At 36.6% G+C, this 13,154-nt stretch overlaps 1 protein-coding gene and 1 long non-coding RNA gene across 3 annotated transcripts in view; one reads left to right on the forward strand and one right to left on the reverse strand.

The window, feature by feature from the left end:
- LINC01088 (long intergenic non-protein coding RNA 1088) overlaps positions 1–13,154 on the forward strand; it is a 337,052-nt gene that overhangs the window by 247,413 nt on the left and 76,485 nt on the right. The gene's annotated exons all lie outside the window — the stretch shown is intronic.
- Positions 1–13,154, reverse strand: part of NAA11 (N-alpha-acetyltransferase 11, NatA catalytic subunit) — a 170,686-nt gene that overhangs the window by 63,785 nt on the left and 93,747 nt on the right. The window contains exon 2 of one of the 2 annotated variants that reach the window (XM_017008778.3): positions 5,943–7,110. The exons of the other annotated variant lie outside the window; for it this stretch is intronic. The gene's annotated coding sequence lies outside the window, so the exon portion shown is untranslated. Of the gene's footprint in view, positions 1–5,942; positions 7,111–13,154 lie in introns of those variants that run through there. 2 annotated transcript variants of the gene reach the window in all.

Raw genomic sequence — 13,154 nt, forward strand, 5'->3', positions numbered from 1 at the left:
AGTGTTTTTTCTCTCCTTCCACATCTTTAGCATTCAATATGAGTGGAAGGCCAATATGAGCTTGGTCGATTGGATGAGGGTTAAATGAAGAGTAGTCATTATTTCCATTGCTTTAATTATGCCATCCTCACCATGATGGACCTTGCTCCATTTCCCTCCAGTAGACCTGACAGACTATAACTGACCTAATTGATACCAGATGACAGCTCAAATAAGGCCTAATAAAGAAGTAATCACACTGATCTAATGAGCAAGCTGTTATGATATTGGCTTATAGAAAGCTGTTTTTTAATCCCTCCATTTTTCTTTTATTATCCGTAACCACTATTCTCAATCTCCTTTTCTGTGATTCTAGAATCGAAGGACTAAAATGGACCTTAGGGGAAACATAAGCTTGATTTCCTGTTATTTGTGCTATATGATATGCATTGACATTTTTTTCAACTCTTAAATATAGAAATGCCAAACAAACTGAAAAGTTGAAAGACTAATACAATGATCACATATATACCTCCATTTCACATTCAGTCATTATAAATATTTTGCTATATTACTTTGTATTTATATGTATATATACATTTTTTCTGAACCATTTGGAAGTAAGTCACATGTATCACAACACTTCATCCCTGAATGAATATTTTCAACATATATTCCTTTAAAATAAACCATTCTCCTACATAAGCATAATAGTAGCAGCAAATTAACGATAATATCTGGTCTATGTTCAAGTTTCTCCAACTGTCCCCAAATATCAAACCATATCCAACCAATATTTCATTAGTTTTTGAGCCTTGCTTTGCTTTCTAACATAATAAACTATTTTGAGCTCACCTTGTACTTTCTTGTCCTATGTGCGAAGTCAGCCATTGTCCCAAGAAGCCTAGGAGTAAGATCTGGGCTAGCATGCTCACTGCTACAAGACTGTCATTACTTCTGTGACTTTTTTTGAGACGGAGTCTCATTCTATCACCCAGACTGGAATGCAGTGGCACGATCTCGGCTCACTGTAACCTCCGCTTCCTGGGTTCAAGTGATTCTCCTGCCTCAGCCTCCCTAGTAGCCAAGATTACAGGCAGGCGCCACTACGCCCGGCTAATTTTTGTATTTTTAGTAGAGACGGCGTTTCGCCATATTGGCCAGGCTGATCTGGAGGTCCTGACCCCAAGTGATCCACCCGCCTTGGCCTCCCAAAGTGCTGGGATTACAGACATGAGCCACTGTGCTGGGCTTTCTGTGACTTTTCAATGGAATAGGTTTGTGTGCGTGTGTGTGTCTGTGTGTGTGTGTGTGTGTGTGTGTGTGTGTGTTGAATTTCTATGAATAGTTACATTTCAAATGTAATATAGGATTTTCTTAACTTTTAAGATATATATAAATAATATATGTGATTATATATAATCTTTATGCTGAATGTCTGAAAGTCTTGGTACCTAATAGTATTAATTTGTTTAATTGCATTTTTCTATAATACGCATAAAATATTTTCTAAATTACAACACCAATATTGTATCTAAATCAAGTTTAAGATTTCTCTACTTCTGAGGGCTCTGTTCTGTTCCACTGATCAATATCTCTGTTTTGGTACCAGTACCATGCTGTTTTGGTTACTGTAGCCTTGCAGTATAGTTTGAAGTCAGGTAGTGTGATGCCTCCAGCTTTGTTCTTTTGGCGTAGGATTGACTTGGCGATGTGGGCTCTTTTTTGGTTCCATATGAAATTTAAAGTAGTTTTTTCCAATTCTGTGAAGAAAGTCATTGGTAGCTTGATGGGGATGGCATTGAATCTGTAAATTACCTTGGGCAGTATGGCCATTTTCACGATATTGATTCTTCCTACCCATGAGCATGGAATGTTCTTCCATTTGTTTGTATCCTCTTTTATTTCCTTGAGCAGTGGTTTGTAGTTCTCCTTGAAGAGGTCCTTCACATCCCTTGTAAGTTGGATTCCTGGGTATTTTATTCTCTTTGAAGCAATTGTGAATGGGAGTTCACTCATGATGTGGCTCTCTGTTTGTCTGTTGTTAGTGTATAAGAATGCTTGTGATTTTTGTACATTGATTTTGTATCCTGAGACTTTGCTGAAGTTGCTTATCAGCTTAAGGAGATTTGGGGCTGAGACAGTGGGGTTTTCTAGATATACAATCATGTCATCTGCAAACAGGGACAATTTGACTTCCTCTTTTCCTAATTGAATACCCTTTATTTCCTTCTCCTGCCTAATTGCCCTGGCCAGAACTTCCAACACTATGTTGAATAGGAGTGGTGAGAGAGGGCATCCCTGTCTTGTGCCAGTTTTCAAAGGGAATGCTTCCAGTTTTTGCCCATTCAGTATGATATTGGCTGTGGGTTTGTCATAGATAGCTCTTATTATTTTGAAATACGTCCCATCGATACCTAATTTATTGAGAGTTTTTAGCATGAAGGGTTGTTGAATTTTGTCAAAGGCTTTTTCTGCATCTATTGAGATAATCATGTGGTTTTTGTCTTTGGCTCTGTTTATATGCTGGATTACATTTGTTGATTTGCGAATATTGAACCAGCCTTGCATCCCAGGGATGAAGCCCACTTGATCATAGTGGATAAGCTTTTTGATGTGCTGCTGGATTCGTTTTGCCAGTATTTTATTGAGGATTTTTGCATCAATGTTCATCAAGGATATTGGTCTAAAATTCTCTTTTTTTGTTGTGTCTCTGCCTGGCTTTGGTATCAGAATGATGCTGGCCTCATAAAATGAGTTAGGGAGGATTCCCTCTTTTTCTATTGATTGGAATAGTTTCAGAAGGAATGGTACCAGTTCCTCCTTGTACCTCTGGTAGAATTTGGCTGTGAATCCATCTGGTCCTGGACTCTTTTTGGTTGGTAAGCTATTGATTATTGCCACAATTTCAGCTCCTGTTATTGGTCTATTCAGAGATTCAACTTCTTCCTGGTTTAGTCTTGGGAGAGTGTATGTGTCCAGGAATGTATCCATTTCTTCTAGATTTTCTAGTTTATTTGCGTAGAGGTGTTTGTAGTATTCTCTGATGGTAGTTTGTATTTCTGTGGGATCGGTGGTGACATCCCCTTTATCATTTTTTATTGCATCTATTTGATTCTTCTCTCTTTTTTTCTTTATTAGTCTTGCTAGCGGTCTATCAATTTTGTTGATCCTTTCAAAAAACCTCAGAAATAACGCCACATATCTACAACTATCTGATCTTTGACAAACCTGAGAAAAACAAGCAATGGGGAAAGGATTCTCTATTTAATAAATGGTGCTGGGAAAACTGGCTAGCCATATGTAGAAAGCTGAAACTGGATCCCTTCCTTACACCTTATACAAAAATCAATTCAAGATGGATTAAAGACTTAAACGTTAGACCTAAAACCATAAAAACCCTAGAAGAACACCTAGGCATTACCATTCAGGACATAGGCATGGGCAAGGACTTCATGTCTAAAACACCAAAAGCAATGGCAACAAAAGCCAAAATTGACAAATGGGATCTAATTAAACTAAAGAGCTTCTGCACAGCAAAAGAAACTACCATCAGAGTGAACAGGCAACCTACAAAATGGGAGAAAATTTTCACAACCTACTCATCTGACAAAGGGCTAATATACAGAATCTACAATGAACTCAAACAAATTTACAAGAAAAAAACAAACAACCCCATCAAAAAGTGGGTGAAGGATATGAACAGACACTTCTCAAAAGAAGACATCTATGCAGCCAAAAGACACATGAAAAAATGCTCATCATCACTGGCCATCAGAGAAATGCAAATCAAAACCACAATGAGATACCATCTCACACCAGTTAGAATGGCAATCATTAAAAAGTCAGGAAACAACAGGTGCTGGAGAGGATGTGGAGAAATAGGAACACTTTTACACTGTTGGTGGGACTGTAAACTAGTTCAACCATTGTGGAAGTCAGTGTGGCGATTCCTCAGGGATCTAGAACTGGAAATACCATTTGACCCAGCCATCCCTTTACTGGGTATATACCCAAAGGACTATAAATCATGCTGCTATAAAGACTCATGCACACGTATGTTTATTGCGGCATTATTCACAATAGCAAAGACTTGGAACCAACCCAAATGTCCAACAATGATAGACTGGATTAAGAAAATGTGGCACATATACACCATGGAATACTATGCAGCCATAAAAAATGATGAGTTCATGTCCTTTGTAGGGACATGGATGAAATTGGAAATCATCATTCTCAGTGAACTATCACAAGAACAAAAAACCAAACACCGCATATTCTCACTCATAGGTGGGAATTGAACAATGAGATCACATGGACACAGGAAGGGGAATATCACACTCTGGGGACTGTTGTGGGGTGGGGGGAGGGGGGAGGGATAGCACCAGGAGATATACCTAATGCTAGATGACGAGTTAGTGGGTTCAGCGCACCAGCATGGCACATGTATACATATGTAACTAACCTGCACAATGTGCACATGTACCCTAAAACTTAAAGTATAATTAAAAAAAAAAAAAAAGATTTCTCTACCAGTTGCTATTTTTCTTTTTAGAGTATATCCCGCCTAGGAGGTATAGCCAGAGTATTGTGCTCAAAAGTCACTTGAAATAATTTTTTTTTTTTGCATGGTTATGTTACTGATTTGAGTACATGAACAGTTAGATTTATTTGCTTTCAATTTTGGGGTTTGCTCCTTTATCTAAATATATGTTTTGTGTGAAAAGATTTACATGGTTCAAAAGTCTACATATATATGACAGTATGCATAGAAATTCTCACTTTATTTTTATATCTCTCACTATATTTCTCTCAACTTCAGCCACTGTAGATAACAATTTTAGTTTCTGTTTTATCCTTTCAGTATTTTCTTATGTAAAAATAAGCAAACAACTCTTCATAGGGTACCAATTCTTCTGCACTTTGAGGTTGCACATACATTTATGAATGGCAGGGTTCTAGATCTGGAAGTCTAAGAACCACAGGGCGGTAGTCAAGAGTCACCAGGTATATGTGTGAAATGAGAGGTAAAGCATGTTCAGCAGGCAAGAATCTGAAAGGATGTGGCTCCAGGTGACATAATTCCAAGGGCGGCCACTGCTACAGGCACTAGCTATTGCTAGTGTCACTGGGGTCAAGAGGCAAGTCACAAAATTCAATCCACTACCAATCTCAAAAATCTTCAGTATAAACAACATAAGCCCTTTTTCTGTTCATGTTGCTGCTTCAATAACATCTACAGTTCTTGCTCACGTGGTGTTCATAGTTTAGTGGCAGCAACAGAGTTACGTAATTACGTGATGATTGAACCAAGGCAAACAAATAAGTACACTAAACATGATTCTATGATTCTACAAAAATGTAAGACAAAAAAAGCAACCAACCAGACAAACAATATAAACCTGACTTGGACTGGGGCCTTCTGAGAAGTATTTGCTGAGAAAGAGACAGGAACAGAGATCAGAGGGGTGATTTGGTGCTAATAATGTGAAAGTGGAGGCTGGAGAAGTGAGTGCTCCAGAGAGAGGGAGCAATATGTTATGAAGGGATTGTGGTGAGTCTGAGCAATGTATATGATAGAATTTTGAGAGATGAAGAATGGGACAAAATAATACTGGGATCAGATGAACAAGGTCAACGTCAACAGTGATCAATCATGTTGCTAGTATAGGATGAAAATGGCATTTTCCCACTGTAGTCTTTCTAAAAATTCACAGCCCTGGACTAATCATGCAAAAAATATCAGACAAATTGAAACTGAAAGATGGTTTACAAAAGATCCGACCAGTACTTCTCAAAATTGTCAAGATCATGAAAAACAAGAAACTTCTGAGCACTTGTCATAGTCAAGAGAAGCTTAAGAGATAGGACAACAAAATATATGGTGGTTTGCTGAGTGGGATCCTGGAATAGTGAGAGGACACTAGGAAAAAAAATAAGGAAATCAGAATATAAACTTTAGCTAATATTATATCAATATTAGTTTATTAATTGTAACAAATGTACCATACTAATGTAAGATATTAAAAATAGGGGAAACTCAATGTGGGGTAGATGGAAGCTATGTACTGTTTTTGCAATTTTCCTGTAAATATGAAACCATTAAAAAAATAAGTTTATTAAAAAGTATGCTAGAGGGGTGGTGGTTGGGGGCTGGACCTTGCAGGACCTCATAAACTGTTTTAAATTTTAGCGAAATACACTTACTTTAAGAGCTGTGATTTTTTTAAACGGATGGATTACATTTTACCTTACGTAAAGTGTCACTGTGGCTGAGGTGCCAAGCACTGAATGGCAAGTGTGGATGCAGGACATTCAGTTTTAAAGCTCTTTTAATATTCTTGGCAAGAGATGATGGTAACTTGAACAAGGATCAGGCAGTGGAGAGAGCATGGCGTAATCAGAGTTGGTATCAAGTTTGTGGGTAAAATTACAGCAGTGGTAATTTGACACCACTTAAAATTATGGGTTTAAGAGAAGAAGCAACACATTTAATCTTATGTCTGCCACTGAGCCAGGTCACATTTTCTGGCCTAGAGGACTTAGTGAGTTAAAAGGGAAGTCTTCTTTTCCTTTAAGTCTGGAGTCTTACTTTCTGCTCTTTGGTGAGTAGAAGTAGTTGGCTTTTCCAAATCTGCAGGGGAATAAGTTAATTGCTTCTAGTTAATACAGATTATAGGCTGCAGGCATAGGGGGATCTCCCGTTAAAAAGCTGCCGGCAAACTGGTCAATTGTCAATCCATCTCTGTCTTATAGCATCTTATAAAAATATCAAGCAACTGTCAACACACACATTCTGCCCTTTTCAATGGTTTGCCCCCATACTATAGATTCTGTGGAAAAGTTATATCCTTCCCAAGTTAGCTCATGTCAGTTTTATGGAATATTTTACCATAGCATCACCAGAGTTATCAGCTTTCCAAATTTCAAAATCTGCATGTGTAAGAGTGTGTGTGTGTGAGTGTGAGTGTGTGTTTTGCCACTAAATTCTTGAACACTAAGTGAATGCCACATATTTCAAGATGGGTAAGCAGCTCTGCTCCATGAGATCATTCATGGACCCAGGTTCTCCATCCTGTTGTTCCCCCATTCCTTAGGTTGTGCTGTCTCAGATCTTCATTGGCTTTTCATCTACAGAAGCAGAAAGAGAGAGAGTTGAGGTCAAGGACTTTCCTTTTAAGAAAATAGCATGAAAGTTGCACACATCTCTTCTGATCATCATGCGTCCAGAGCTAGCTGTAGGGAGGCTTTAGTGACCATATGCCCAGCTAAATCTTTTTCTTTTTAATATATATATTTTTTATTATACTTTAAGTTCTAGGGTACATGTGCACAACGTGCAGGTTTGTTACATATGCATACACGTGCCATGTTGGTGTGCTGCACCCATTAACTTGTCATTTACATTAGGTATATCTCCTAATGCTATCCCTCCCCCCTCCCCCCACCCCACAACAGGCACCAGTGGGTGATGTTCCCCTTCCTGTGTCCAGGTGTTCTCATTGTTCAATTCCCACCTATGAGTGAGAACATGTGGTGTTTGTTTTTTTGTCCTTGCAATAGTTTGCTGAGAATGTTGGTTTCCAGCTTCATCCATGTCCCTACAAAGGACATGAATTCATCCTTTTTTATGGCTGCATAGTATTCCATGGTGTATATGTGCCACATTTTCTTAATCCAGTCTATCATTGTTGGACATTTGGGTTGGTTCCAAGTCTTTGCTATTGTGAGTATTGCCGCAGTAAACATACGTATGCATGAGTCTTTATAGCAGCATGATTTATATTCTTTTGGGTATATACCCAGTAATGGGATGGCTGGGTCAAATGGTATTTCTAGTTCTAGATCCCTGAGGAATCGCCACACTGTCTTTCACAATGGTTGAACTAGTTTACAGTCCCACCAACAGTGTAAAAGTGTTCCTATTTCTCCACATCCTCTCCAGCACCTGTTGTTTCCTGACTTTTTAATGATCGCCATTCTGACTGGTGTGAGATGGTATCTCATTGTGGTTTTGATTTGCATTTCTCTGATGGCCAGTGATGACAAGCATTTTTTCATTTTACCATCAGAGTGAACAGGAAACCTACAGAATAGGAGAAAATTTTTGCAATCTACTCATCTGACAAAAGGCTAATATCCAGAATCTACAAAGAACTCAAACAAATTTACAAGCACAAAACGAACAACCCCATCAACAAGTGGGCAAAGGACATGAACAGACACTTCTCAAAAGAAGACATTTATGCAGCCAACAGACACATGAAAAAATGCTCATCATCACTGCCCAGCTAAATCTTGACTTCTATTGAAGAAGTGAAGGATGGATTTTGTAAGCCTACCAGCAGCCAAAGGAGACTAAGAGGAGTCATTCAGGAATATGAGGGTTATGAAGACAGTGGTGTCCCAGAAACCAAGGAGAAGAGGATGTTGCATGAAGAAGGAGATGATGGTTTCACTTTGGTTACATTTATCCAAATGCCCCGTCCAACTCTTCAGTGTCCCTAGTAAAATCTGGTATAGAGATGGACACTGTTTTTTAGGTGAGGCCTGCTGAGTGTGGAGAGTTGTGAAAAATTTTTCCCTTAAATTGAGAATGTTTTAAATAATGCAGCCTATGTTTTCTTTAAGTAACAAGGCCATCCCACTGACTCACACTGATCTTGTTCTCAGCAAAAAACTCCCTGCTCTTCCTCATATTAATTGCCATAAAAACAAGTCACTTCTATCATGCATTTGGCTCATTGAGTTATGAAAATATGTAGGTATTTCGTTTCTTTTTATGTAAATTTATGCTGGTTTTAGTCCATCATTTGAAGTCCAGAAGTCTTCTGGAACTTAACTGTGTCTGTATTAGTTGTCTTTTCCATCTTGTGGTTTATGGTAAAATTAATAAAAGGCCTTGCAAACCAGTAACAACAGCTGCCGTTTACTGTGTGCCTATTGCTCAATGCCTGTTGATAGAGTCCACTGGGGTGCTGGCTGGCTGCCCTCTCATTTAATTTTTGAACATTCTCATAAGGTCATTTTGTTTGTTTGTTTTCTGGCCTGAGTATTGTATTAATTACATAAAAGAAAACTTTGGGGAAATATTGTTAATTTTTGACAGGATTTTCCAACACTAATACTAGTACTGTTATTACAGCTACCATACAACTCTGACCACTAAAGAATTTTTGTTTTTAAGAATTTGGAAATTATTTTATTATGATATCATTTATGTACATTAAAATTCATTCTCATTGGTGCACAGTTCTATTTGTTTTGACAAGCTCACACAGTCATGTAACCATCACCACAATCAAAATATAGAACAGTTTTAATAACAATTTCTTTATGTTCTTTATAGTCATACCTTCCCTCACCCACTTTATGTCCCTAACATTTTGCCTTTTCCAAAAATGGAACATAAATTGAATTATATTGTATGTAGCTTTTTGTGTCTGGATTGTTTCATTCAGGGTAATGCATTAAGATTTGCCCATGTTTCTGTGTGCCTTAGTAGTCTATTCCTTTGCATTGCTGAGGAGTACCCATTGTATGGAGGTATCACAGGTGTTTTATCCACTATTTGGAGAATATTTGGTTTGTATTTAGTTTTGGACAGTTATGAATACAGTTTCTATAAACATTCATGTACCATTTTTTGTATAAACATCAGTTTTTATTTCTCTTAGGTAAATACTTACTAGTAGAATTACTGAATTATATGGTATGTATGTTTGTTCAAACATGTGAAAAACGACCAAACTGTTTTCCAAAGTAACCATTCTATTTTTCAGTCTCACAGCAAGTAGGAACATTCTAGTTACTTTATATGCTTACCAGTCTTTTGTCAAATATATGATTCACAAATATTTTCTCCCAGTCTATGGCTTTTCTTTTCACTTTATTAATAGTGTCTTTCGTAGTGCAGAAGTTTTTTTTACAAAGTCCAATATAGCAACATTTTCTTATATAAATTGCACTTTTGGTGTTATATGTAAGAAATCTTTGCCTAATCCATGATTACACTGATTTTCTCCTATTGTCTCTTTCTAGAAATTCTATACTTTTATATTTTACATTTTAATATATGATGCATTTTGGGTTTTTTTATATAGCAGGAGATATGAGTTGATATTCATCTTTTACATGTGAATATTCAGTTTTTCCAGTACTATTTCTTCAGAAGACTCTCCTTGTCAATTAAAATACCTCTGCTCTTTTGTCAAAAATAAATGAAGTTTATATAAGTGGGACTATTTCTGGACTGTCTGTTTGATCTATGTATCTATTTTGTAAAGTAGATTTTAATGTATGTATTATATAGATGAGAAAATTAGTTTCAAAGAGGTTAAGTAACCTGCTCAACATCATCTTAGATACACACGAGTTAAGATTAGTCAATGAATTCATAAAAATGTTTTTGAGTATTAGACCTACACTCACTTTCACTCTGCTTTTACTCACCACTGGATCCAGCTTTGAGGGTTTCAGTGATCCATTGGTCTGTATTTAATAATAATAATATCTAACATTTAGTAAATTTTTGCTATGTGCCTGGTATGATATTGAGTTCTTTGTGTGTGCCATATTGTTTAAGCATCACTTCACCTCTTTAGAGAGGCTACTATTATGCCTTGTCACAAGATAGAAGTGGGGCATAGAGATATTATATGACTGCCTTGAGGTCATGGGGCTTCTAAATAGGAGAGCTGAAATTTGAACTCAGGTCCTCCCACTTGCTCTTAACCATTATACTATTCTGCCAATGGAAAGTCTAACTGTGAAACAAATCAAGATGCTGCCACATTTATTGGTACCTAGTCTATATTTTCTATTGTATCTTTATGGATTTTTAAAAAGATTTTATTCTTTCGACAGTTTACTGAGAATGATGATTTCCAATTTCATCTATGTCCCTACAAAGGACATGAACTCATCATTTTTTATGGCTGCATAGTATTCCATGGTGTATATGTGCCACATTTTCTTAATCCAGTCTATCATTGTTGGACATTTGGGTTGGTTCCACAGTAAACTATCGCAAGAACAAAAAACCAAACACCGCATATTCTCACTCATAGGTGGGAATTGAACAATGAGAACACATGGACACAGGAAGGGGAATATCACACTCTGGGGACTGTTGTGGGGTGGGGGGAGAGGGGAGGGATAGCATTGGGAGATATACCTAATGCTAGATGACGAGTTAGTGGGTGCAGCACACCAGCATGGCACATGTATACATATGTAACTAACCTGCACATTGTGCACATGTACCCTAAAACTTAAAGTATAATAATAAATAAATAAATAAAAAGATTTTATATAAAGTCTTTTAGCATTGAATCTATGTCCACATTTATCTCCTAATTTTTGATTCCTACAAAAGAAACCTCACACAAGCACATAAATGCATAAGTACTATGAGAGTTGCTTATGAAAGATAGCTAAAAATGAGGTTGGTCTTTTTGTGAAGAAATTATCAGACAGATCAGAGTGTCATTTTGAAGTTCACAACAGAGACTGCTGCCCTGACATTGGCCTTGTTTGTTAGATTCATTTGCAGTAATAACTAAAGGAGTTTTTTTTGCTTTCTTATCTGTTGTTTAATATCAATTCTTCTGGTCCTGAATATTAAGGCCATGTGAGACGATACTCTTAACAGAGAAAGTGCTCAAGAACTTTGAGACTCATTTGGAACTGGAAAATTATTTAATAGCCCCAGATCCATAGTTCTACTCTCCCATTGGAATTAGCTATCCTAAAAAAACCTTCCTTGACTCCCAAAATTTTATTAGAGCCCCCTGTTCAATATTATCATAAGACCTTTACTTTCTTATCAACACTTTGCACATTTTGTTTATCTTCTTATTTAATGTGTATCTTCTCTAAAACACTTCATGAGAGTAGGAATGTATCTGTGTTGTCAGAGTTTAGTACAATGCCTATACATATTAAATGTTCCAGAAATGTGTTTCAACAGACAAACTGACATAGAGAGCAATTGGGGCCAGTAATTTAAATGGCTTCTTCAATACTTTTTCAAGAAAGACTAATTCTTGGAAACGGTTTGTTATTCTAGAAGAAAGAAACCTACTGGTTTGGCAGAGTGATAGTCTAATAAATAGGTAGAATTAGCAATTTTCCCCTGGTGAAACAATGAGGGAGAAGATTGGGAAGAGAGGAAACTGCTAGTGGAAGAGGTACTGGATTGGCCTTTAATTTCTTTACAATACTAAAAAGGATATTTCAGAGAAAGTTGTCCTCCCTAGTTACACTGGAAAACCTCAGAATTTTTTATCCTCTCACTTCAGAATCCTCACAACAAAATCCTGTGTCAATAGATTGCAAAACAGCATAGCTGGTAGCAGGGACACAGCCTTTTCCAAAAAGGTATTGGTCCTTTTTGAAACTGTGCCAACTTATACCTTGAAAAATTATATGAATCCCTAAAAGGAGTCCCACATTTTCTAGTGGAGGAGTCAGGTGGACCACAGCTGAAAGTATTAATCTTTTTAGCATAAAAAAGGGACAATTAGATAATATGTGCATCCTAATGAGATACAGTAGGGAGACAAAACATATAATTTATATGTTTTATTATTGTCAAAAATAATGAAACCTAAATGTGACCAAGCTTCTAGATCCACCACCAGTTTACAGGAAATACAAGGCAAAAAGGAACTTGTAATAACACCATGGGGATGCATTCGGCAAAAATCCTGAATATGGAACATTTTCTAGGACAAATCATTCATATATATATATGCATACACACATATATGTATATACACATATATATGAAATAATATATATGACATAATGAGATGTTTGACCAATACATGAATATTTAGTGACATTAAAAATTTATTAATTTTTAAGATTATGATAATGCTATTACAACTCTGTGTGCTTTCTAACAGATTTCTTATCTTTTGGATAAATGTTTTTGAAGAATTTATGGATGAAATGATATGATGTCTGAGGTTTGTTTGAATAATCCACACTGGGCACAGTATTGTTGAGGTTTAGATAAAACAAGATTGGACACATATTGATAGTTGCCTAAACTGGGACTAAGTACATGGTATAAATAATTCTTCTCTGCTTTTGTGTATGTTTGAAAATTTCCATAATAAAAGTTTTTTTTAAATCATCAAAATAATGATTATACATTTGAAAATTTT

Source organism: Homo sapiens, chromosome 4 (assembly GCF_000001405.40).
Source record: "Homo sapiens chromosome 4, GRCh38.p14 Primary Assembly".
NCBI classification, from domain to species: Eukaryota; Metazoa; Chordata; class Mammalia; order Primates; family Hominidae; genus Homo; species Homo sapiens.